Source organism: Homo sapiens, chromosome 5 (genome assembly GCF_000001405.40).
Source record: "Homo sapiens chromosome 5, GRCh38.p14 Primary Assembly".
NCBI lineage: Eukaryota > Metazoa > Chordata > Mammalia > Primates > Hominidae > Homo > Homo sapiens.
This window is the reverse complement of record NC_000005.10, coordinates 179,185,637-179,210,884: the sequence shown is the minus strand read 5'-3', so window position 1 is coordinate 179,210,884 and position 25,248 is coordinate 179,185,637. Positions and strand designations below refer to the sequence as shown.

Genomic DNA, 25,248 nt, shown 5'->3' with positions numbered 1-25,248 from the left:
ACTCGTGATTGACAGGGTCAGGGTCAATCTTATTGTGGGGAAAACTGAGGTGGCACTCGTGATTGACAAGCTGGGGCTTCAGCCTGACTGCCGGGTCTTGTTGGGACAGAGGAGGACAGGAGGGGGGCTGGGCCAGAGCTCCTGTTGCCCCAGGTCTGAGGGCATTGCAGATCCCCCTGCTCTTAGGGCTTCTCCCCTTGTCCTGTCCAGCCTGAGCACCACTGAGGCTTCCAGGGGCCAGACGCAGGGCGTGGCTGTCACCTGCCAGGTGGCCCAGGCCCCTGTCTTCCTCTCCTCACCCACTTTGCCTTTGGGCCTTGGGCCGTCTCTCTAGGCACTGGTCCTGGGTGGAGGGATGCTCTAGAACATAATTTCCAAATTTCACCCCAAAATTATCACGATTAAAATAATGATGGCAACAATAATAATTCCATTTCAGGTGAAATTCAGATTCTAAATCTTTAGAAACCTTTGCTGTTTTTAATGGGCTTGCAACACACAGTTTAGTTAAAAACTCTGCCTGCTCGGCAGAAGCAGCCTCAAGACGTGCCCCAGCCCAGCTCTGTCCCGATGCGGCACCCATGCCCTCCTACGGGGAATGTCTGGAGGGGTCCCTGCATGGGGACTCTGGGGTTAGGGCCAGGAGGACATACTGTGATACCTTCTGGTGCCAGAATGACATTGACAGTGGCAGGCAGGTGGCCTGGTGAGCCAAGCCCTGTGTGTTTTGTCTCCAGGTGTGGCCCCTCAATTCACAGACCCGGGCTACCCCTGGGGTGGCCCCATCTCTTAATTCCTCAAGAGAAGCTGGATGTTCTAGATTTTTAAAACATGAAATCTCCCAGTTTTCAAATACTATCAACCAGATGGCACCACGTGACCTCAACGAGTGCCTCTGTGGTCTGGTTTTGCCGAGGGCACCGCCCGTGTGTGACCCCTAGTTTGACAAGGGCAGAGGGTAACGCCCGGCCTGTTCCCCAGGGAGGAAGAGTTTTCCTATGGAAATTGCCATCACTCTCCTTCCCAAGGTGATTCTGAAGGTGAGCTGTCTCTGTTCGTTGGAAATGCAAAGAAATAAATGTACAAAAATAGAGTGGCGATTCCTCAACCCCCCTGTCAGGCTTGAGTTGCTGGCGCTTCCTCTGGGAACGGCATGGATGGCCCTGAGTCATCCAGGCAGCTAAGTGGACTGCTCGGCTCCCCACAGCCCTGCCCGCAGGCCTGCCGGCCCCACCCCTGTCCCTGGAGTGGCCCTGGAAAGTCCTTGCTGTGTACATGCATGTGTGTGTGCCTGTGTGTGTACATGTGTGTGCATGTGTGTGCTTGTGTGTGTGTACATGTGTGTGCATGTGTGTGTGTGTGCATGTGTGTGTGCGCCGAGGGGACACAGAACTGTGGAGCTGGGGGTGGCACAAGGACCCCCGAAGGTACTGGAACCCCAGCAGCTGCTCAGCCCTGGCCCCACTTACTCCTCTTCTCTTTCCCAGCCCTCACCCTCCGCCTCGCACCTCCACTGTCTGTCTTGGTCTTGCCCACAGCCGGGCTGCAGGTTTGTGCCTGAAACTTCATGTTCAGTCTGTCTTGTCTGAGCCAGGCTGCAGGGTGCAAGGAGAGAGCTTCTGGCCGAGAGTCGGCCATGCTGGGATGCCATGGGTCTCCCCATCTGTAAAACGGAAATGGCCACGTCCACCGAGTGGCCTGCTGTCAGCACTGGGTGAGGAAGCGTGTGCCGGGATGAGGGCCTGGTACCAGGCTGCCTCACTGTCCGAGTGGCCGTGCCGCCTGCAGGGGCCTTGTTCTGCCTCCAGGGCCTGTCCTGGGCCACCCTCACAGGGAGGGAGTGCCTGTCCCTGCCTGGAAGAGGCAGCAGGAGAGAGGCGTTGGGGGTGAAAAGTGTTGTTCTGGAAGACTCTTTGTAGAGAGGTGGTGCAGCAGGGACGCTGGTCTCCCTCAGCTGCAGGGGCCTCGGGGCCTGGCCACCGCCCTGTGGGTCAGTGATGTCACGATGACCTGCAGCCCTGGGTCTGTCCCGGGCCAGGAGTCTCTGAGGACCTGCCTGGGGAATGCCATGGAGACCCTGGGGCTGGGACCTGGCTTAGACACAGAGACCAGTGCAAGGGAAAGGGGGCTTCCAGGACACTGGGGCTTGGGGGGCGGTGGGCAGTGTGGTCTGGGGCTGCCATCGATGCTGCAGGTCAGCCTGGCCAGCCTTGCTGTGGCCTTCAGACGGGCAGTGGAGGGCTGGGAACTGAAGCCTGGTCCAGGGTGGTCTCCAGGCCCGCAGGACACAGAACACAGCAGAGACAGCACTGCACAGAAGGCAGGGACGATATCCGGGGCAGACTCCCCAGGATGGCAGCCCCAAGTGGCCAGGGGCACACCCTGGGGGCAGGAGGTCAGTGCCTGCCCAGGGCCGACTGCAGCGGAGCTGCCACAGAGGGGTTCATCTTGGTCTCTGCACAATTCAATCAGGCCAGAGGCGGTACCGTTCACCTGGGGAGGGGGCCCGGGACCTGGCCCAGAGATGTGGGGCCTCGCTTCAGTGGAGGACTTAGCAGAAAGTTCTGGGAGGGGCCCAAGGAGACACTGGGGAACATGCACAGCCCAGGATGGGCCTCGGTTTCCCCAGTCATAACAGCTGGCGATGACACCTGGGACACCAGTCCTTTGGCACCTGGCAGCCCTTCGGGGGAGAAGAGGTGGCTCTACCCACTCCAGCATCGGGCAGTGTGGGCAAGGGGTGGCTCTGCCCACTCCAGCGTCAGGCAGTGCGGGCTGAGGTTCCCGACCTCTCCATGGCTGAATGCCAGCCCTGGGCTCCATAAGGCAGACGGTGATGCTGGGCTGGGTCTCTCACAGTCTCAGCAGGTCTGATCCATCGTGTGGAGGCCACTGTGGCCCCTGCTGTGGCTGGGGTTGCCACCAGGGGCTGGGGAACGAGCGGTCCTGGAAGTCACAGAGGTGCCTGTCTGGGCCCTGCTGTGTCTGAGACAGCTTGGCAAGTCTCTGCCATCTTCCTCTGCACCTCGCTTTCCTCTGTAAAATGGAATAATACCCTCGGTTCAGGGTGCTATGAGTTTTAAATGAGAGGATGGCCAAGCTGGCGCCTGGTAGGTTTGTGTCCGGGTGGGTTTGCCCTGCCGCTGAAGACGGTGTCCTCTCCTTGCAGGGGCCTCCCTGGACAGCCTGGACAGCCTCAGCCGCGCCCTGGGCGTCCTAGAGGAGCACGCCAACAGCTCGAGGCGGAGGGCACGCAGGCATGCTGCGGACGATGACTACAACATCGAGGTCCTGCTGGGCGTGGATGACTCTGTGGTGCAGTTCCACGGGAAGGAGCACGTACAGAAGTACCTGCTGACACTCATGAACATTGTGAGTGGGGTGGCTGAGGGGGCAGGGTGGGGCGGGGAGGGTCAACCAGGGGCTGGGCAGGCCAGAGAGGCCCAGCTGGGCCAGGTCCCCTGAGGCTCTGCCGATTTCCTTGTTAGCCGGAGGTGAGTGACACAGTCTCAGGGAGGCTTGCTGGGTCCCCAGGTGAGACAAGTTGACCATCCCTGACCTCAGTTCTCTCGTCTGCACATCGTGGGTGATGGTAACTTGGTGAGGCTCTTCACAGGCTAAGGCGGGTTTGTGCAAACTCCAGTCGTTTGAATGACAATGTCATTCAATGTCCCGTCATTTGAAAAATATGTTTTCTTGATGTTTGCCACTTTTAAAACTAAAATCATTTAAAAAGGCAACCTTATTTTACCTGAAAAGCTAATATAATAGTAAGACATAAAGTGACGTTATTCAGCCCCAGCTGGATAGCCCTGCCTTCTTCTCGCTCCAAACAGAAGCCCCTTTTCTGTTTAAAGTAGAGATTCACGTGCATTAGAGCGAGGGCCAGACACCAACCCAGGGCCCCTCCTTAAAGCTCGCAGTGGGAGGAATTGGGGAGGGAATTCCTTTCTCCCTGTGAGTCTGGGCTATTGAAAGGGGTGTCTATGTGCCACCTTCGTCTTCTGGGCACCTGCCCATGGTCTGCCTAACACTAAGAGATTAAAGAACCACCTCCCCCTCATTCCATACCCCCAACAACCTAAGCAGGAGGTGCCAGGATGCTGAACCGTGTGTGGGTGGAGGCTGTGCAGACCTTTCCTCTCTCTGCCTCATGTGGTCAGAGCCACTGTGGGGATGAGGGGCGTCCAGTCTTCAAAATGCAGGCTCCCAGGGGAGCAGACTGGCTTGGCTGAGTCCTGCAGGGAAAAGAAGGGGGTGAGAAGGAGGACCAGGGCACGGCCTGGAATGTGAGATGCTGCCAGTGGGGCCCTAGGGGCAGGGGGGTATTTGTGGGAGGAAGCCGGGGCTTAGGGAGGGCTGGAGGTGGTGTGGAAGCCGGGCAGGTGGGAAGTTCTAGAACCCCGTGCTGCGTGTCCACACCTGTGGATGAATGAGGTCCTCTGGGGCCGGGCTAGAGGCAGGCAGCAGGGTGTGCAGGTCTGCTCAGGATCTGCTGCCCAGCTCTGCTTTTCGGACCAGGGGTGAGCCCCTCCAGGAGCCAAGCTGACACATGGGTCAGAGTCCCCAGGGCCCTGGTGAAAAGATACCTCAGGGGCAGGAGGGGATGTGAGTGAGCTGAACACTGGACAGAGACACCACCTTCATGCTCACTTTCCTCTTGACCGGTCTTGGGTGAGTCAGCTAGCCCTCTGGAGCCCAGCCTTATCCGTACAGGGGGCCGAAGTCCGCTGCATCGGCAGAATTCGTTTTATTTGGGAGAGCGTTGTCACACTTACCCTCATCTTATTTTTGAAACGTACCTTTAATGCAATAATCATAATAACGGCCGGGTGCGGTGGCTCACGCCTGTAATCCCAGCACTTTGGGAGGCCGAGGTGGGCGGATCACGAGGTCAGGAGATCGAGACCACGGTGAAACCCCGTCTCTACTAAAAATACAAAAAATTAGCCGGGCGTGGTGGCGGGCGCCTGTAGTCCCAGCTACTCAGGAGGCTGAGGCAGGAGAATGGCGTGAACCTGGGAGGCGGAGCTTGCAGTGAGCTGAGATCGCACCACTGCACTCTAGCCTCAGTGACAGAGCGAGACTCCGTCTCAAAAATAATAATAATAATAATAATAATAATAACAATAAAACCATAATGGCTACATTATCGAGCCCCTACTATGTGACTGTGCCGGGCCCATGCTGGGCACTTGCCATGCTAAATTATCTTGGGAAGTCCTCATGCTAGGTCTGTGAGACTGGCAGGTATAAAATCTTGGCTGCCTTCACAATATGAGTTCTTCCCCTAGCATTATGTCGCCTTCCAACCCAGCGGGGAAAGGACTGGGCTTGGAATTACAGTCCGATGGCGACTCCAGGCCTCGCCTTTTCCAGGCGCGTCGTTGGGAACGCTGCTCCCGTCCTCTGAGCCTTAGTTTTCTCATCTGTAAAATGGGCCAGTGTTTTCATCGTGGGGGTTGATGTGATTACATGAGATAATGTCAGTGAATGTGCTTTTCAGTCTCTCAGTAGGGTGAACACGTTTTCAGTTTCCACATAAAATGTGGTTTTGTTATCATGACAGTGGCACTGTTTAGTGACAGTCCAGGAGGGGTCACTTCTGATAGCCCACCAAGGGCGCTGACCAAATGTGGGGCCCGTGGTGAGTCCTTCATGAGGCTGGCAGAGGCAGATCAACCTTTCTCCTGGTGCCCAGGGTCTCTCTGTCACAACAGCTGGTTGGAGGATGTCTAGAACGTTCTCTCACTTTTGCCGTCCAACTTTATTCAAACCCTAGTGATCCAGCCGTACCCCCTATTTTGAATAATGGGAAGGTTCGTTTCTAGAAAAGCATGAGAAATTTAAAAATTCTTAAATTGAGATGAGTTTTATCACAACAGAGAAACCGTTTTAGGAGACAAGTCTCAGAAGTTGAGAAAGTATTTGGGCCGTGTCTGTTGTCCCCTGTTGCACAGAAGTGAGCACTGATTCATTCAGCAAACGTGTTGACAGTGTGCTTGTCATGGGCACAGTGGGGGTGTCCTGCAGAGGCGGCGGGGCGTGGCAGAGAGTCCCGGGGCGTGGGAGACCGGCGGCGGAGGGTCAGCGGGGGGTCTCTGCCTCTGATCTGAGCCCCAGCTCCCACTGCAAGAGCGCAGCGTGGGCGAGGGAGATAAGGCGCGGCCGTGCCTGGAGCATGGCATTGCCCTGACGATGAATGCCCTGCGTCCTCACTGAGAGCCTCTGCATGCCCGGAGAGTCCTGAGGACAGATCTAAGCTATGTCGGACCCTTTGGTGGTCTTGGGGAGGAGGGGCATTGAGCAAGTGGGAGCTTCTGAGAAAGGGTGACCTTCCAGAGCCCTGCTGTGCGACAGAGCTTCCCGCGGTGCTGGGGAGATGCTCGTCTCGCCCTTTCTGGGGCAGTAGCCACCGGGGCTCTGGAGCACTTGAAGTGTGGCTGGTGTCCTTGAAGAACTGAATTTTTAATTTAACTTCTTATTTGTTCCAAGAGAATTTTAATTTAAAAAATTTTAATTGCGGTGAAATATACAGAACATAAGTCACCGTCTTCACCATTTTTAAGCGTGCGATTCGGTGGCGTAAGCACATTCATGTGGCTGGGCCACCATCGCCACCACCGTCCACAGAACTCTTCATCTTGTAAAATTGAAACTGTGCCCATTGAGTTTCAGCCCTTTCCTCCCCTCCCCCCGACTCCTGGCACCCACCACTCCACTTTCTGTTTCTGAGAATTTGACTACTCTGGGTACCTCGCATAAGTGGATCAAACAATAATTGTCCTTTTGTGTCTGGCTTATTTCACTTAGCATGACATCCTCGGGGCCATCCACATTGCAGCATGTGTAAGAATGTCCTTCCTTTTCAGGGAGGACCAGTATCCCGTGTGTGGGTGGATCGGCCACATTTTGTTTATCCAGCCATCCATGGGCACTCCGGTGGCCCCCTCATGGGCTACTGTGAATAGTGCTGCCGTGAACGTGGGTGTTCCAGACTCTGTTTTCCGTTCTCTTGACTATATGCCCATAAGTAGAATTGCGGGACACAGGGTAATTCTTTCTTTAATTTTTTGAGGAGTTTCCACGCTGTTTCCCACAGTGGCTGTGCCATTTTGCCCCCCACCAACAGTGTACAGGGATTCTAGTCTCTCCAAATTGTCACCAACTCTTGTCTTTTTTTTCTTTTTTACGGTAGCCACCCCGAAGAGTACTTTGTTTGGATTAATTTTCACCTGGATGGAAGCCGCAGTGTGGCTGGCAGCTGCTGTGCTGAACAGGGCAGGGTTGGGCCTGTGCACAGAGGATCTGCCTACCGTGCCCTGTCTCTGAACTTGGGTGCTATGGGGGCCTCGAACCACAACCCCAAGTGGCCCTCTAAGGCCTGGCCAGTGGCTTGTCACACTCCTCTTGTAAGTCCCAGCTGGTCACAGGGCTCCCCGTGGCTGGAGCGAAAGCAAAAGCATGGAAGGACAGACGTGGCAGCAGCCGGCTGGGACTGGGCTCCCAGTGAGGTGTTTGTCTGGAGCTGTAGAGCAGGTGGGGCTGGGCAACGGCACATCCAGAGCCCGGGGTCTGGGGGCCAGCCCTGGGCAATGAGCTGCCCACTGAACTGGATGCAGAGAATGGTGGCACAGCCTGTGCCCTGGGAAAGGCCGTCGAGCCCTGGGAGGAGGAGCTGGTGGGGGCCCTGATGGTGGGGACCCAGGGAATGCAGGCTCTGAGGAGGAGGTGAGGTGGTGGCAGGCTGAGTGCAGGCACAGCTCCACCCTGGCAGCCCTGCACTGCCTCAGTTTCCCTCATCATTTGGGGTGACTTCTGCCTGCAGAGCTCCCTTTGGGATCTCTTTGTGGCAGAGCCTGGGCTGGGATATGGGGTCCAGGGGTGGCACAGGCAGTTCAGCCTCATCGATCACCCCTGTGCTCCCCTCCCCAGTCTCCCTTGTAGCTGGTGTGGAGCTGCATGGCCAGTTTTGCCTAGTGGCCTGTGTGAAAGGAAGTGACCTGGGTCACCTGTGGACCAAGGCTGGTAAGAGCTTGGAGTCCCCTCCATCTCTGTCTCCCCTGCCACGGAAACCTTGGAAGCCATGTGTCCCAGTAGGTACAGCTGCAACATAGGCTCGGGCCCTCCCGACCCACCCCGCGCCATGGTGTGAGTAAGGAAACACGGTGTGCGGTGTATTGTGTTCAGCTGCTGAGATGGGGTGGATTCTCGGCATAGCCATCCTCCTCTGTCTGGTGCCCCTGGCTGCCGTTCATACGGGGGCCGGTGTTTATGGGGCGTCTATTATATGTCAGGCAAGGGGTGCAGCTGTGAGCATGACAGGACGTAACCCTGCTACCTTGCATTCTGGGAAGGGAGGCACAGACGATACTGAAGTGAAAAACAAACAGGATCATTTCAAATAATGACAAATGCAATGAAAGAAATAAAATAGTTAGGAGATGGAGAAGGAAGAAGGGTAGGGGAAGGCAGGCCACTTTCTACAGCTCAGGGGCTGGTGCACTGGAGATATCACGGGAGCAGAGGCTCACGACAACGGAAGGATGTGGGAAGAGGTAGGATAGGGATCGCCTGTTCCAGGTTTGGGGGAGGGGGCAGGCGGCGCCAAGGCCCTGAGGCAGGAATGGGGCCGGCTGGAAGAATGGAGGCAGCCTGGCCTGTCAAGCAGGGGGCACAGGTAGGGGAAGTCGGGGCCGGCAAGGCCGGCCGCCGCAGTCTTCCAGAGGTGGAGGGGAGCCGCCTGTGGCTCCGGGAGCAGTGGAAATCACTGGAGGGGCTGCTTCCTGTCTATGTTAAAGACAAGACGTGATATTCCCTTTTCTATGGGAAAGATGAAGCTGCCCTTTTCATCTCAGACTTGCCAGAAGGGAAGCGGCTTGGAAATGGAGCACTTCATGAGGCCACCTGGGCACAGAAAGGGGCTCTTTGGTTTAGGCAACCACCCACCTGCCCACTCCAGCAGCCCCTGCTGGGTCCAGTTTTCTTATCTTCCTCCTTACATCTAGAAAAGCATGTTTTTTGGTTTATTGAAATAGTCCATATTTAACACAGATGATTTATTTTATTTATTTATTTATTGTGAGACAGAGTCTCACTCTGTCGCCCAGGCTGGAGTACAGTGGTGTGATCTTGGCTCACTGCAACCTCTTCCTCCCGAGTTCAAACGATTCTCCTGCCTCAGCCTCCTGAGTAGCTGGGATTACAGGCATGCACCACCACGGCCGTCTAATTTTTTTTTTTTTTTTTTTTTGTATTTTTAGTAAAGACAGTGGTTTCACCATGTTGGCCAGGCTGGTCTTGAACTCCTGACCTCAGGTGACCACCCACCTTGGCCTTCCAAAGTGCTGGGATTACAGGCGTGAGCCACCGTGCCGGGACATTTTTTTTGCTATGTAAAATTAGCATAAATTCCTGTAGGTATGTGAATGTCTTCTCCCAGCAGTTAATTGTCTACTACGTTGTTTTAATGATTGCATAACATCGCACCATATGACTGTCACACACTTTTTACCTAACTTATTATTTATATGACATATTCACATAGCAAAACTTATTTCTCCATTAGAGGTCAGACATGCCACTAACTGTATCACGTTCATAGAGTTGAATCTATCGCTCGTGCTTACTTATTTCCTTAAGCTGAGTTGCTGAAAGCGAAGTCTCTGGCCAACAGATATGCCCATTTTTTAAGCTTTCTACACTGGAATGTTCTCTGTTATGGTTTCATCTATTCCCGCTTCATTGAGCAAATGACTGTCTCCCCACCTCCTCACACCACTGAGTCCTTTTGAGCAGTGGTAATTTAATTACAACGGAGATAAGTTTTTTTGTTGTAAGTTGTTATTTCCTTGATGTTAATGAGCCTGCATTTAAAAATATACGTGTATTTGTAAACAGAGATTATTTTATTTTTTTGCTTGGCCTATTCATGCCCTTGATTCTGCTGGGATTTGGGGGTGTTTTATTCATCTGAAGAGTCTGTGTACTTAAGTAGATAAACTTTTTGTCTGTCACATGTGTGGGAAATATTTCCCCCAGTCCTGTTGTTGACCTTTTGTTTTATTCCGCCTGGGATAGTTTTTGATGTCCTACATTTTTGTGTGTGTGACCACAGGGAAAGATCCTGCAGTCTTTCCCTTCCCAGGGGAAAAGCTTCTCCCTTGGGTGATGTGTTTGATGCCTCCTGCCCTCCCCAGAAGTTAATCTTCTGAGTTTCTGCCCTACTTGGCAGCTGTACTTCCCAAGCTCCAGTTCCTCACCAACCGCTGACTGTTCTTGGGTTTAGCCATAGCAGCCCTCCACCTGAATTTCTCCCAAAGTAAGAGGAAAGATAGGCTTAGTGCAGTGGCTCACACCTGTAATCCTAGGACTTTGGGAGGCCAAGGCGGGCGGATCACTTGAGGTCAAGAGTTCGAGACGAGCCTGGCCAACATGACAAAACCTCATCTCTACTAAAAATACAAAAATAAGCCGAGTGTGGTGGCACGTGCCTGTAATCCCAGCTACTCGGGAGGCTGAGGCAGGAGAATGGCTTGAACCTGGGAGGCGGAGGTTGCGGTGAGCTGAGGTGACGCCACTGCACTCCAGTCTGGGCGACAGAGTGAGATTCTCTCTCAAAAAAAAAAAAAAAAAAAAAAGGAAAGAAAGGTGTGGCGGGGAGATAGAGAATTCAAAGGAGCCAATGTATTACATGCAATGCATTCTTATTTCCCCTCAATATCTGGCTGCTGCAAAACTCGTCAGGATATTACCAGTGGGGAACACTGGCCTAAAGGCAGAGCCAGTAGTAACTCCCAGGCCCCAACGCACAATGAAAATGTGGGATCGCTTGTTCAAAGAGCAGAGGAAGGTGCCATACAAAGGGACTATTAAGCCACTTCCTTTCTTCCTTAGTCTCTGTCTCTCTGTCTCTCAACTCGCTGTTCTTTTTATTTGCTTTTTAATATTGTTCTAAGTGAACAAAAATTGGAACCTTGAATTATTAGCATGAATTTCTTATTCATCTTTAAATTGTGCGATGGCTATTTTAAATGCAAATATTAGAGCATTTAGCTTCTATGTGGGGTCACTGAAATTAAACAAATGTGTATTTTGTGGCTGATCCCTGATGGGTGCCTCAGGCTGACCAGAAGTTTATGACAGGCACAGCCAGACTCAGGGAGGCTGGGAGGAAGAAGAGAGGATTTCACAGAGTGGAATCCTGCCGAGGGGAGGCTCCTCAGGTACGGGGTCCTAGCAGAGTGAGTGCACCCCCAGCAGGAAGGGCACACCCACTGGGGTCTGAGAGCTTCCTGCCACCCCTGGAAGAACACATTGGCTGTGCCCTGGCCAGGGCGTCTGGGGAAGTAGAGCCAGGCACGCCCCCTTCCTACTGGTGCACTGCTCCAGCCCAGAGCGTATGGCCACGGCCAATCCCATCTCTATGCAGGTGTCACTCACGGGAGGTTCACCTCTGCCGAAACACGGGCTCTGGCCAGCCATCCACCAGACATGCCCCTTTCCTGCCAGCCGTGGGCGGGATGGCCACCACCACGCCTGCCCTGAGATGCCGTGGGGAATACATGCCTGATCCTGCCCCTGCTGGGGGCAGCTGAAAGCCTGTCCTGGGGAGATGGGACCATGCTGCATTGCCCCAGGAGCCTTCACTTACAAAACACACATGCAAGGGTGAGATGACGAAGAACTTCAAGACAGAGCTGCAGAGGGTCAAGCCCCAAGGTCGGGGCCTTCTGAGGATAGGCCCTGGTCATCTATGAAGTCAGCCTGTCCCTAGGGCGAGCCCAGAAACCTGAGCCCTGCGCTCAGACCCCATAGCCTGAGGGAACACCTGCTGCCCTGCATGTGCCCCCTGGATGCCACCTCAGACTCCCGTTCTCTGTGGCCTTTCCCCAGCCTCTGCTTGGGCATGTCCACACACCTCTGAGGCCCAGGCGAAGCCAGCCGTGCTAAGAGGGCACTGGGTGTGTGCTGAGCCTGTGGCAGGCAGGGGGCGGGCCCTTGTCCACAGAGGCTCTCTGCAGTGAGTTTTGTTTTTTTTTTTTTTTCCTTGAGATAGAGTCTTGCTCTGTCGCCCGGGCTGGAGTGCAATGGCATGATCTCGGCTCACTGCAACCGCCACCTCTCAGGTTCAAGCAATTCTCCTGCCTCAGCCTCCCAAGTACCTGGGACTACTGGCACGTGCCGCCATGCCTGGCTAATTTTTATATTTTTAGTAGAGACGGGGTTTCACCATGTTGGCCAGGCTGGTCTAGAACTCTTGACCTCAGGTGATCCACCCGCCTCAGCCTCCCAAAGTGCTGGGATCACAGGCATGAGCCACTGCTCCCGGCCTACACTGGAGTTTGAGCACACGCAGCTGTAGCCCTCCTGGCTGCTGGCAACCCTGGGATGAGTCTGGTCTCCTGAGGCTCAGCGGCCCTTAGCCTGGTCAGAGATGCTGAGGCCCCTTGGGGATGCCCACATTCCCCCGTCTAAGGGCAGAGGGGTCTCCCTTCCAAGCACTGTGAGGCTAGGAGGATGGAGTGAGAGCCGTGGGCAGATGTGTGGCCCATCCAGCTTTGCTGGCCCCCCAGCCCCGTCACTGGCAGAGTGACTTCTATTCCCTCTGCCTTCATTCTGCTCCTGCTCCTCCCAGCTTTCTACTCTGGCTCAGCCTGCAGCCTCCACCTTGCGTTGCTGCCTCCCCTGGGCCCAGCCGGGAGGATAAGGGGCTCTCCTCTGCCCAGGCCCGCCCCCCGCCCCCGAGGGCATTGGGAGACCACTGTCATGTTTGACCTTTCCTGCTTGGGAAACATACTCCCTGAAGTACTGGGTGCTGCCAGGCTGGGACACAGGTGACATTGCTGAACATGCCTGATACTGACCCTGGGGCTTTGGTATTTCTCACATTTTCAAAAACTTGCTCTGCCAGCGCCTGGGCTAGTCTCTGCTCACAAACCAGATGCTGTGGCCATGTGTGTGGGCCTGGGCACCCCTAAAGAGTGGGCTTGGGCCTGACAGGCGAGGCTGCCATGCTAGGAGGCAGCTCAGATGTGTGTGGCACCTCAAGTTTCGTCCCCAGGTACAGACAGGGACTCTTCTGCAGGCTCAGGTAAATGGGAGGCAGGGATGAATGCCTTGGAAGATCAGAGCCGTTGTGGAAGTAATATGTTTATATATGCATTTTTTTCTTTTTTGAGACAGGGTCTCACTCAGTCACCCAGGCTGGAGCGTAGTGCTGCAATCATAGCTCACTGCAGCCTCAAACTTCAGCCTCCCAAGCAGCTGGGACTACAGGCACACACCACCATGCCTGACTCATTTTTTAAAGATTTGTTTTAGAGACAGGTTCATGCTATGCTGCATGGTGGACTCAATCACCTGGGCTTAAGTGATCCTGCTGTCTCAGCTTCCTGAGTAGCTGGGATCACAGGCACGAGCCACCACGCCTGGCTACAGATACATTTTTAAAAGTAAAATCTATCTGTGCCAAGACTTCAAGAAATATAAAGCTTGGGCCCAAGGCTGAAGCTTCCTTTGTGGCTTCAAGCATTTCACTAAAGCGCTAATTTCAATCCTACTCTTCCCGAGAAGCCTAAGGCCTCAATGTGTTGCTTAAATATCAGGATCTACAAAGACCTTGAACTGTCTTTGTGAGCCCCTGGTCCCACCGCACTCCTTGTAGACAGGAGGCAGACCATTGCAGTGGGTGATACCCAGCCTGCAGCAAGGCCAGCGCTCAACCTATTGCTACCAGGAACACGTACTCTCAGGCCTGCCAGAGGCCACCAGACAGATGTAAGGCATCTCCCCCTGAAGTGGCCCCTTTTTTGGATGGTAAGCATTTTAAAACATCAGTTTTACATTAAAGTAAATTTGGACGTATTACTTGCATGAAAGCAAAATTCACGTGAATTTGTCAAGGTAAACTGGAGATTCTAAAGCTGTGTTGGCAAACTCTGGCCCCAGGGCCACCTGGCCCTTCACCTGTTTTTGTAAATAAAGTTTTATTGGAACACAGCCACGCCTATTGATTTATGAATTGCCTGTGGCCATTTTTGTGCTACAACAGTGGGTTGGGTAGTTGCAACAGAAACCATATGGCCCACAAAGCTGAGAACATTCACTATGAGGTGCTAAAGGAATTTTTGCTACCAGGCTGTGCAGAAATGTACTTGCTTAGTGCCTGCCTTGAGCTGTGATGGCCCCAGGCCTCCAAAGTGAGCATGTGCCTTTCACTACATCAGTGCACGTGGGTGTACGTATTAGGGAAGTACTGAGCACAGTGGGCTGCTCAGACCCCAGCCCACCCCCACACTAGCCTTATCAGCTCAAAGGACCGGTGAGGCTACTTCGGGGATTCTTTTTAAAGGATAGAATGAACTGCTCTTAACCGCTGTAGAACGGCAGAGCAGGAGGAGCAGGTTTCCGGGCATGCAGAATAGTCTCTCCCAGCTGTGTTAACTGCTTATGTTCTGGGAGAATGCCTGAGCCCCCAAAGCATCTCTTCTGCTGAGGGCAGACACGCTCCTAGGCCTATGGAGAACGTGGAATCCAAGGATCTTCTGCGCCTTCAGTCGCGGCTATAACCTTTGACCCCTCCCAGCACGAGAACATTCTCTGTACAGTATGTTCTACGACCGTTTTTTTTGAATGAATGATTTCTCTCTATGCCAGGATTCAGATATTTTTCCTCTTTTCATTTCTAATTTAATCCAGAAATTGGCCTGGACTTACCAGAGCCTTGCCAGGGTTTGCAAACAATCCGAAGGCATATGGGCTCAATTTCTCACCAACTTTCACGAGTGCTGAGACCGCATGGTGGCGGTGGGGAAGGCAGTGGTCGGACAGGAGTGTTTTCAGCTGGTCGTGGTGGAAATCTCGTAAACTGGCCGCAGAGATGCAAACCAGCCAGGCGGAAGGCGTCGCCCCAAGTCATAGTTCACGAGTCGCTGGCTCTGGTTCCTGGGAAAGAGAAGAACATCTCTGAAACTGGACACGAAACACGGGTCCCTTAAGTGGGGGGAGGCAAGCGGGGTTCAGGGTCTGCTAGTGGTGCTGTGGCCCTGGGGGTGTTGCTGGCACTGTTTCTGTTCCTCACGCTTGTCCCGCTGGCCTTACAGCCTGGCCCTGTGTGCCACCAGGAGACACAGCCATGAGGGCCAGTGGTGTGTGCGAGGCTGCACGCAAGGCTCAGAAGAGGGCAGTGCCCTCACGTGCTCACAGTAGCCAGGCCCGAGGGGCCCAGGTGGCTGAAGGCTGTTGGGAGTGGTGGGGACTCGGGCGACCGGAGAGGCCACGCCCCCCTGCAGAGCTCCTCGTGGTTCCACTCGCTTGTGTTTCTGTAGGAATAAGCAGACCACTGCTGCCAGCTCGCTCTTCCATGAGAAGCTGGAAATCTACTTTTTTTGGGAAATCTAATTATTTTTCAATGTGGGCCACAGATTGAAATTAAGAAGCCACACTGCACAGGTGAAGCAGAACACGGCTGCAGGACAAGTCTGGTGTGTGGGTGGCCTGAGTGTTCTTTCCAGCCTAGAAGGAAGGAGGCGACTGCCTGTCCTGCTGCGCCCTGTGCTGGTCAGTGCCAACTCCCGGGGCTGTTGGGAGCACCACTCGAGTTGAACACCAGGAAAGTGCTCAGTAGAGCACGGGTGTGGGAGGAGCATGCTGGGATTGGGAGCTGTCCTCAGTCATGTTCGGCACTCCCTGGACTCCTGGCCTCCGCATCCCTGCACTGGGGGAGCTCAGAGCACAGGAGTATGGGGAGCGGGATCAGGACACGTGATTACACCTTGGTTCATCAGGGAAGGGTGCCTGGGGCGGCTGGTCAGGGAAGGCTCCTCGGACAAGGGCCACCGCAGTTGCCTCTAATGAGGACTCCTGGTGGTGGCACAGCGCGCGCAAAGGCCTGGCCGCATCGTGAATCGCAGTGCGCAGATTGGGCCCTGCTGGAGCTTGTGGGGCTTGGAGAGCGGGAGCGAGGTTGATTTGTGGTCTACAAAGATAGACTCCTCTCTCTTAGGAGGTTTGGGGCTTATGCTTTCTATCCTTGGAAACACCCCTCCCCACCTGAGGAGGGGAACTCACATTTGCTGGTTTTGCACGTGCTGGCCCTGTGCAAGGAGGCACACCTGTGACCTCACTACCTTGCCCCAGTGGCCCTGTGAGGTTCCCTTGCCTGCATCAGGTCACTGAGACTGAGAGAGACATGGCCAGAGCACGGCAGATGGAGTCACATACCTGTGGGAAGGTGGCCCCTGTGCTGGTCCTCCCCTACTGTCTGGCCTGAAGATCGAGAGCTCCCAAATCCCCTAGCATGCTCCGCGGGTTCTCATCTCAGGCCTCACTGACCTCCCCACAGCATTTGGAGTCCCCTGGCCACACCCGCCTCTCCCCGCAGGCCATCCGCTCTGCCTCTTGCTTTGCCTTGGCTTCTGCATAGATCTACTGTGTCCTCCTGTTCTGAGGCCCACCCGCCTGCCCACTCACTCCCTTAGTGCACCCGGATAGAGCAGCCCTAGGTGCTGGGGATGTCGTGGTGAGCACGGGATCCAGACCGCAGGGAGCACATGTTCCAGCAGGGCTGGGGAGGCCGACAGACCAGTGATGGTGAGCAGGTGGGGAACACTCGAACAGGGGTCTTGTGGGTGGATCTCACCTCTGCTTCCTCCTGAAATGTGCAGCACCCTCCCCACCAGTGGACATCTCCCCACCTCCTCCCTCCTCCCTCCTCCGCAGACCTCCTGATAGCTGATGTGGAAGCCTCCCAGCATCCTGTCCTTGGCCTCCCGCGGGGAACTGATGGTTGTCAGAATGGGAGTTAGAGTCCCTGTGGACGAGGAGGGCCAGCCATCCACACACCCGGATGACAGCTTGAGGCAGCCTCGGAGCTTGTCTTGTGCAGGCTCCAGCAAGGAGGTGACAGCTGAACCACAAGAACAGAGGCGATGATGTGCCACGCCGGGCTGTCGGGCTGACCTGGCGTGGGCTCTCACTCCCTGAGGCCCCTCCCAGGCTGCCCCTGGAGCTGAGTTGCAGTCAAGCAATCCTGGGTCTTCCTCCCCAGTCCAGGGGTCTCCTTGGTGGTGTGTCTCAGCAGGGTTAGGGACTCCCACAAAGGTGACTTTGTATCGGACCCAGAGAGGGTCTGCCCACCTGATTTTTCACTGAGTACCTGGAAAAGGCCTGGCACGTAGTAGGTGCTCAGTAAATCTCTTTTGAATGAATAAGTGACTAAATGAATTCCCATAAAGCGACTGTGATCTCAGAGACTCCCATAAAAATGAACTCTATCTGTGGGTGTGGAACTCCTCGTGGCTGGGTGTCCTTATGCCTTCGCTTCTATGACAGAGGCTGTGTCTCCATCGTCCATGCTGACGTCTGAATGGCCAGGTCCCGGGATACAGTTTCTAGTTGCAGCAGGTTTGCCAAATTGCTCCTCAGAGCCTCTGTACTGACTCCCATGCCCACTTATGTGAGCCTCTCAATCTCTCTGTGCCTCGGCTTCCTCACTGGCACAGCGGGGATAACACTCACTCGCAGGGTGTGGGAAGGGAAAGATATCGCACGCGGGGAAGTACTCGGCGTAGGCGGAGAAGATCAGAGCCGACCAGCGAGGCGAGCAGTTGTTCACTCGGCCCATGATGTCTGGGAAGAGCCCCAGCCAGCTCCCGTCCTGGACAAGCTTTTTTCTCATGGGGGCCACCTGCTTGCCTTGGCACAGCGAGGACAGGGCCTTGGCAGCCAAAGGAGACGGTCAGCTGTCTCCACCTGGTAGTGGAGATAGTCACAGTGGGGTGATCCTTGAGCTGGTTTTGGTCACAGAGTTGGTGTCTCCCAAGTGGAAAGTGGGAGGGCATCATTCCACACAGAGGAGCCCCTTGTGCAAAAGAGGTGCCAGCCCTCGGCCACCCTGGGAGCCCGCTGGGGTGGGAGAAGGCGCGTGCGGCTGAGCTTGGCCTTGGTCCTGAAGCCTGGGGAAACACGGGAGTACTGAGCACCCAGGTTGCATCAGCAAGAATGCAGAACAGTCCCTGCCTAGTGGAGACGGACAGACAGCTAACAAACGAAGGCGACTGGAGATCACGATGGTGCCAGGAAGTTACCAGGATGGGACAGCACCCGAGGCAGCATAGGGTGCCCCGTGGGAATGTTCACAGAGTGAGGAAACTTCAGAGCAAGGGAAACTTCCCTGCAGCCAGACAGGAGGAAGGAAACCTGGCTGCAGCCTGCAAGACCTCCCACCCGCGCCTGGCAGGGAGCCTGGCCTGGGGGCTGCCCATGCTGGCCCTTCTGATCCTGAGCAGAAGTGATCACGGACCCTTGTGCTTCCAATAATTCGGCCCCTCTTCCTTTGGTTCTGGGTTTCCTGTGTAGCGGTGGGCAGGATTTCATCTATCTTTCCATCTGCCAGAGTCTGGCAAGGGAGCTAAGCCACATAAACAGACTCTGGTGGTGCAGGGGGATTGTGACCTGCTGCACAGAAGGGCAAAGCCGTTTCCCGCCAAGCCCAAGAGGCGCTGGAACATCTGCTCTGGGTGTTGGAAAGCACCCTGCATGACTGCGCTTTCAGGGAGGGATACGCTGGCAGCAGACGACCCTTGCCGTGAGCTTGTAATGCAGGACCCTTCTTGCAGCCTTCACCTTACTCTTGCCCTGCGCTCTGAGTGCCTTGGGGGCCCCTGCCCAGGTCGAGGGGCACAGTGCAAGGTGATGGCCTGCAGCCCTCTGTCATGCCTTCTCAGTCTCTGAGGGGTTCATACCTGCTCTGCCAGGGCCTCTCCCTTCTTCCTCATCATGCATGGATGCCTGGGGAGTAGGGAGGCTGGCCTGAGTCCTCCTCAGCTTTGCTCTGAGGTGGTCGGGTCTGACGCCTGGGCCACTTAGGCATGCTGGACCCCTGCCCAGTCCAAGCCCTATGCCTTGATGGGTGTCCACTCTACAGCCTCTGCCAGCCAGTGCCAGCTACCCACGCCCTGGCCCTCGCCAGCAGGAGCTGCTGCATCCCACACACCCCCTTCTGGAGCGAGGGGCATCCATGTGCTGCCTGAGGCCCATTCATTAACATGAGATCCCTCTCCATTCTAACCACCTGCTTGGCCACCATGTGGGTTGGCCTCCACCCTCAGCAGAGGGTCTCATCTCAGTGGGAAGTGGAGCCCAGAACCCCGGGGACTATCTGCATCTCACCCTAAGGCGGGGGCAGCGGTAGGGATAGGGCTCCGGCTCCAAGCCTGGTGTGGGCTCAGCAGCCCGCCCCCCACCCCGGCAGCTGCTTGCTGCCCCCTCCCCCACACCGTTCCTGTCCCCTGATGCCACAGCTCTCTCCTCCCATAGCGGCATTTTCCTTCCCTCTTTCCTTAGGTCACACTGGTGACAGAGCAGCGGCAGAATATGATGTGTGGGGGAATAAAAATGCATTGTTCTCAAATTACATGGTGGTGCTCAAACGGACCCAGGTGACCGAGCTCAGTCACGGGATGGGCCGGGCCACACAGCCTCTGAGACGGGCGTGTGGGGGGATGCCAGGGCCGGGGGTGGCACGAGCCCTGGCCACTTAGGGCCCCTCTTTGAAAGGAAACTCCTCACTGAGCCCCCCAGGGCTCTGTGGCCAGGGACAGCCGACAAGCTCAGCAGAGTTCCAGGGAGGCAGGGCCGTCCTGCAGCCACTGCTAGCAAGAATCAGAATCCCTGACTTTTCTCGGCCTTTCCCTGTCAGTGGCTCGCAGTGGCCGAGAGGCCCCTGGGGGACACTGGGCTCTGGCCTGAGGCCTCGGCCGTGTCCTTCTGCGTCCTGCAGCCTCAGCAGCACTGGTCCTTCCCCGTTCTGCAGCATTTCCCTTTCTGATGAGGCATCCGGTCAGCGGGTGGGAAGGTCAGTCCCTAAGTGGTGGCATGGCTGTTGTTTCCCCAAAGGCGACGCAGCCAGCGGGGAGAGCTCCAGGGCTGGGTCACACTCGCGGACGTGCCTGGGCACAGCAGCCCCTCCAGCTCTGGAAAACACAGGGGCATGTGCAAGCTGTTCACTCAGACCTCTCCCGATGGTGATGGCCAGGAGGAGAGCCAGGGTGGGTGTAAGGGCGAAGCCCAGGTGGACCATTCTGTGCATGGGGTCCCAGGGAAACAGCTTGGGCTGTTGGACCCTCCTGTAATTTGATGACAGTTTCATTCAGCCTGTACTAGGTGCTGGGGATTTCACTTTTGTCACGCATGTCCGTGTGAAGAGACCACCACCAGGCTTTGTGTGAGCAATAAAGCTTTTGAATCACCTAGGTGTTGTTTTTACCTAAATCAGTCTGGCCTGGTGTATGACAACATAAACTCAAGGATAGAGCCCAAAAACTCGCCAACCAAGCAAATAATTATGCTGAACCCCCTTGGGCACTCTCTAATTGGATGTCCTGGGTCCTCCCAATTCTTAGTCCTTTAATACCTGTTTTTCTCCTTTTATTCGGACGCTGTGTCTTCCGTTTAGTTTCTCAATTCATACCAAACTGCATCCAGGCCATCACCAATCATTCTATACGACAAATGCTCCTTCTAACAACCCCATAATATCACCTGTTACCCCAAAATCTTCCTTCAGCTTAATCTCTCCCACTCTAGGTTTCCATGCTGCCCCTAATCCTGCTCGAAGCAGCCCTGAGAAGCATCACCCATTATCTCTCCATATCACCCCCAAAAATTTTCACCACCCCAACACTTCACCACTATTTCATTTTGTTTTTCTTATTAATATAAGAAGACAGGAATGTCAGGCCTCTGAGCCCAAGCTAAGCCATCATATCCCCTGTGACCTGCACATATACATCCAGATGGCCTGAAACAACTGAAGATCCACAAAAGAAGTGAAAATAGATAGTTCCTGCCTTAACTGATGGCATTCCACCATTGTGATCTGTTCCTGCCCCACCCTAGCTGATCAATCAATTGAATTTGTGAACAATACACCCTCTCCGCCCTTGGGGTAATGTACTTTGTGATATTGCCACCCGCCCCCGCCGGACCCGCCCTTGTGAATCTACTTTGTATGATACACCCTCCCCACCCTTGAGAAGATACTTTGTAATATTCTCTCCCCCCAACTTAAGAAGATACTTAGTAATATTCTTCCCCACCCCCATCCTTAAGAAGATACTTTGTAATATTGTCCCCCCCTACCTTAAGAAGATATTTTGTAATATTCTTCCGCCCTTGAGAATGTACTTTGTAAAATCCGTCCCCAGCCCACAAAAAATTGCTCCTGGCCGGGCGCGGTGGCTCACGCCTGTAATCCCAGCACTTTGGGAGGCCGAGGCGGGCAGATCATGAAGTCAGGAGATCAAGACCATCCTGGCTAACATTGTGAAACCCTGCCTCTACTAAAAAAAAAAAAAAAAAAAAAAAAAAAACCAGGCGCACTGGCGGGCGCCTGTAGCCCCAGCTACTCGGGAGGCTGAGGCAAGAGAATGGCATGAACCTGGGAGGTGGAGCTGGCAGTGAGCTGAGATCATGCCACTGCACTCCAACCTGGGCAACAGAGAGAGACTCCGTCTCAAAAAAAAAAAAAAATTGCTCCTAACTCCACCGTCTATCCCAAACCTATACCAACGAATGGTAGTCCCACCACCCTTTGCTGACTCTCTTTTTGGACTCAGCCCACCTGCACCCAGGTGATTAAAAAGCTTTATTGCTCACACAAAGCCTGTTTGGTGATCTCTTCACATGGACGCACGTGATAATTTTCATTGTTGCTTCAACCTGAAACAACCCTGAGACACAGGGACTATTATTATCTCCATTTTATAGATAAAGAAACTGAGGCCCAGACAGGTTAAGTAACTGGCCCCAAGTCACGCAGCAGGATTGTGGCAGAGCCCATGCTGGCACCCATGAAATCTGACCTCAGAGTGGGAATATCCCCCCCACACTCTGCTAACCCCCCAAATTCAGGAGAGGGGGAGGGGCAGCCTCTTGCCGTCGTTAGTACAAACCCGGGAAGGTTTGTAATGCGACCTGTCTTCTCAACGTGCCTGCTGGAGTGCCACACTGAGGGGTGCAGCACATCTCTTGAGACCCTGCTGGGCTCTGTGCATTGATGAGCTGGCCTGGAAGTGGAGGAGCCCCGTCCCCACCCTGAGGCATCTGCAGAGGTATCAGCAGAGTGTGGACAGGCACAGGAGACGTCGCCTGAGGAGTGAGGGGGTGGCCTTGGGCAGAGTGTTCCTGCGCTGGGTATTGAAGGAGGGGACTCTGACCACCTCACTTTTTGATGTATGAACTGAGCCTAGTAATTCTGATCCTGGCCATTTCCGTTTCATGGTAGTTTGATATTTTGAGCAAGAGTCACGTTTCTTCTAGCATTCCCTCTGAAGCATCTGCTGAGGAGCCGAGGGTGAAGAAGATCTGCAATGGGAACGTTGATTCTCATGATAAGCCCAGGCTCTGGCAGCCCCGTTTAGGCACCATGCAATGCCTAAACTCTTCCTCCACGGAGGCCAGCAGACCTCTGTCCCCTGCTCCTGGCTGCACTCTCTTCTCTGCCTCCATCCTGGTGGTCCAAGCCTGGCCTCCGAAGGGGCACAGAGAGAACAGCCTTCTCCTCACTTATTTCAGGGGGTCCCAGAGAAGCCACAGAGCAGCAGGCCCCCCTCCCCCAGGCCTCTGACAGACTTTTCAGGCCTGGCTTGCTCCTGGACATGGTTTTGCCAGGTGGGCCACAGGCTGCCTCTGGTGGCCCAAAGCTCAGCTGAGCGAAGGACATGGGAACTTTCCTGAAGGTTGGGGTGGCTGCTGTTCCAGGGCCCCTGCCTGTCTCCTCTGTGGCTGGCAGGCCAGTAGGCCTCCCCAGTAGGGAGCCTGCACCGGTTCCCCCCTTTCTGCACCCCTCCCCCACCTTGGCAGAGGACAAAGTCACCTCTGCCCAGCAGCCGCAGGCCACCTCCCAGGGCTCACCATCCCCTGGGTGGAACTCTGCCACCAGTGAGGCAAACTTTACATTGCCATGCAGAGCCGCTCCTTCCTCATTGTCTATTCCAGAACAGAAACTTGGCTGCATCTTTGCATAAGCAAAAGGCGCATTACAATGTGTTTCCCCAAACAAGAGAGCCCTTGGCCTCTCTCCGCACAGAGATGGCTGCGGCTTTGAACATTTCCCCCCAAGGTTTAAAGATTCCAGGATCAATTTCTCAGACAGTACTCAAGGACATTGTCCCTGGGCTTCCCCTCCCCCTGCAACCTGGGAAAGGAGAGCTGCTTCTCCCCAGCACACGCAGGCCTTGGGTAGGGTGGATGCGGAGGAGGCCCCCAGGGCTGCTGGGGGGAGGGGAGGGGAGGCCCTTAGCTGGGGGCCTCCCCATGAGAGGGGTCACAGGCCTACGCTGGGTCATACATTTTGCCCATTTCCTGTTATTCCATATCTTCAAAGTGATTCACTCCATTCATTCAGCAAATGTTTACTGAGCACCTACTATGGGCTAGACACTGCTGGGAGCAGTTGCACGGCAAGTCCAAAGTTCCTGAGGTGGAGACAGGCTGCCTGTGCAAGGAGCAGCCGGGCTAGCCGCTGGAGCACAGGGAGCAGGGCCAGGGCAGCCCGAGAAGACTCAGCAGGGCCAGACCCTCCTGGCCTGGAGGTCACGCCAGGAACTGCGGTCTCATGCCTTGGGGTAGGAAGGGTTTAAGCAAGGAGGTCACTGCCTCTTTCCTTTGAGATATATTTTTTAGGATGAGTCTTTTTTTTCAAATGCTCCTGAGATATCTAAAGAATTGAGGGGCTGCACAGGGAGAGTGAGGATTCCAGGCCTGAACCAAAGCACAGGCAGCAGGAGAGGGCAGCCGGCTCTGGGGAAGGCTGGCTGGGCTGTCAGGAGCAAGGGTGCCATGTGGGGAGGTATCTGAAGTGACGCATGGAGAAGCCAGCCAGGGCCAGCGTGGAGAGGGCTCCGAATGCCAGGCGAGGGGCTGGGCCCTGCTTCCGAAGGCACTGGAGAGCCGTTGAGGGTTTTAGACAGTGGAAGGGGAAGGTGAGATCTATTCCGCTTGGTGATCGTAGTGAAGAATGGTGTGTGTGGGTGGGGGGGTGGGGAGGACACGAGGGGGACCGTTGGGGAGCCCTACCGCCTGTCTCCTGTCTGGCAGAGAAAGTGGGTGGGGCCGGGGGAGGAGGGGGATGTGCAGGAGGCAGGCATGTGGAGGTCGCCTTCTGTCTTCAGTTGCTCTTTTTGCCACATCAGTCGACTCTCTGCTCTGCAGAAATGTTGCCGCTGTGTCCTTACTGAGGACGCCAGTGTTTTGTCGGGAATTACACTGATTACTCCCAGTGGTTCCCATGCCCAGGTGGGCCCTGCAGGCCTCTGGCCAGGGCTGGGCAGGAAATTTTGGCAATTTTGCAGCCTCCTGAAAAGCAGGTAGAGCCCTGGGATGGTAGAGGGGGCAGGACGGGGCTCACTCCTCAGGCCCACGGAGGACAAGGACACTGTGGAGCACCCCTGCCTCTCACATGCCCCACAAACCCTGCCTGCCCCCCATGTCTGTTCCTGATGTATCATATTAACCTACGGGGACTGAGAGGCTGGACAGCAGAAGGAGCCCGGCCCCGGACTGTGGGTTGGACTTTGCCATAGCACACGCAGGGGCAGGAGAACCACCCAGGCCAGTGGTCAGTGGTCTCTGGGCCACAGTGCCCCATGGGGTTCCTGACTGCTGGGAGGGGCTGCTGAGACCTGGCCTGGGAGGGGGCCAAGTTGAGGGCTCCGGAGCAGGATCCCAGGCCCAGCAGCCACCCAGAGGAGCCAGGAGGCCATCGCAAGCCCCACCACGGCCTTGCTCAGGCCTGCCTCCCAGAGAGTGGGCATGCCTGGGGAACTATGTGCTGTGCTGGTGTGGAAGGGAGGAAGGGACAGAGGTTTCCTGGGGAGAGGATCAGGGAGAGCGCACCACAGTTGAAGGCTACCAGGGAGGGAGGGCTGAGGGGGCCTTGGCTGCGGCCTGGCCTCCTTCTCCCTGGCTACCTGCTGGGAGCATTTGCAGGCATGCCCTCTCTAGCTCCTCAGCAGCCAGGGAGCCCCAGTTAATCTCCGAACCATCTGAGGCTTCCAGAGGCCAGGGTCAGGGCACCCAGCGCAGGAGGTGGGAGCTGGCTGCTGGCGGACAGCCCACAGTGGAGCTCCCCAGCCAGGGGCCCACGCCTAGCAGCCTGACACCCCAGGGCTCAGCTGCCTCGACCCCACCTCCAAGCAGAATGTGAGGCTGACGGTCTATCCCAGGGAGTTCCATGCCCAGCGA

General features: G+C 55.4%; 1 protein-coding gene and 1 long non-coding RNA gene across 5 annotated transcripts in view, besides 4 other annotated features; both read left to right on the top strand.

Moving 5' to 3' along the window:
• ADAMTS2 (ADAM metallopeptidase with thrombospondin type 1 motif 2) overlaps window positions 1–25,248 on the top strand; it is a 234,609-nt gene that overhangs the window by 134,577 nt on the left and 74,784 nt on the right. For all 4 annotated transcript variants that reach the window (NM_014244.5, XM_047417895.1, XM_047417896.1 and 1 more), the window contains one exon: window positions 3,170–3,372. In NM_014244.5, the coding sequence (NP_055059.2) occupies window positions 3,170–3,372 (203 nt within the window). The remainder of the gene's footprint in view (window positions 1–3,169; window positions 3,373–25,248) is intronic.
• Window positions 891–1,391: an enhancer, noted in NCBI's record as "H3K4me1 hESC enhancer chr5:178636495-178636995 (GRCh37/hg19 assembly coordinates)". NCBI's record gives its function as "activates a minimal SCP1, AML or CMV promoter by ChIP-STARR-seq in naive H9 embryonic stem cells {active_cell/tissue: H9 hESC(naive)}" and the evidence as "EXISTENCE:reporter gene assay evidence [ECO:0000049][PMID:30033119]".
• Window positions 11,783–12,077: a silencer, noted in NCBI's record as "tiled region #9172; K562 Repressive non-DNase unmatched - State 22:ReprW". NCBI's record gives its function as "weakly represses a minimal TATA promoter and a strong SV40 promoter by Sharpr-MPRA in K562 cells {active_cell/tissue: K562}" and the evidence as "EXISTENCE:reporter gene assay evidence [ECO:0000049][PMID:27701403]".
• Window positions 11,783–12,077: an enhancer, noted in NCBI's record as "tiled region #9172; HepG2 Activating non-DNase unmatched - State 22:ReprW". NCBI's record gives its function as "activates a minimal TATA promoter and a strong SV40 promoter by Sharpr-MPRA in HepG2 cells {active_cell/tissue: HepG2}" and the evidence as "EXISTENCE:reporter gene assay evidence [ECO:0000049][PMID:27701403]".
• Window positions 13,271–20,253, top strand: LOC124900195 (uncharacterized). The gene is made up of 2 exons (XR_007059081.1): window positions 13,271–15,561; window positions 16,723–20,253. It is a non-coding gene; the product is annotated as an uncharacterized LOC124900195 (long non-coding RNA).
• Window positions 18,162–18,853: an enhancer, noted in NCBI's record as "H3K4me1 hESC enhancer chr5:178619033-178619724 (GRCh37/hg19 assembly coordinates)". NCBI's record gives its function as "activates a minimal SCP1, AML or CMV promoter by ChIP-STARR-seq in primed H9 embryonic stem cells {active_cell/tissue: H9 hESC(primed)}" and the evidence as "EXISTENCE:reporter gene assay evidence [ECO:0000049][PMID:30033119]".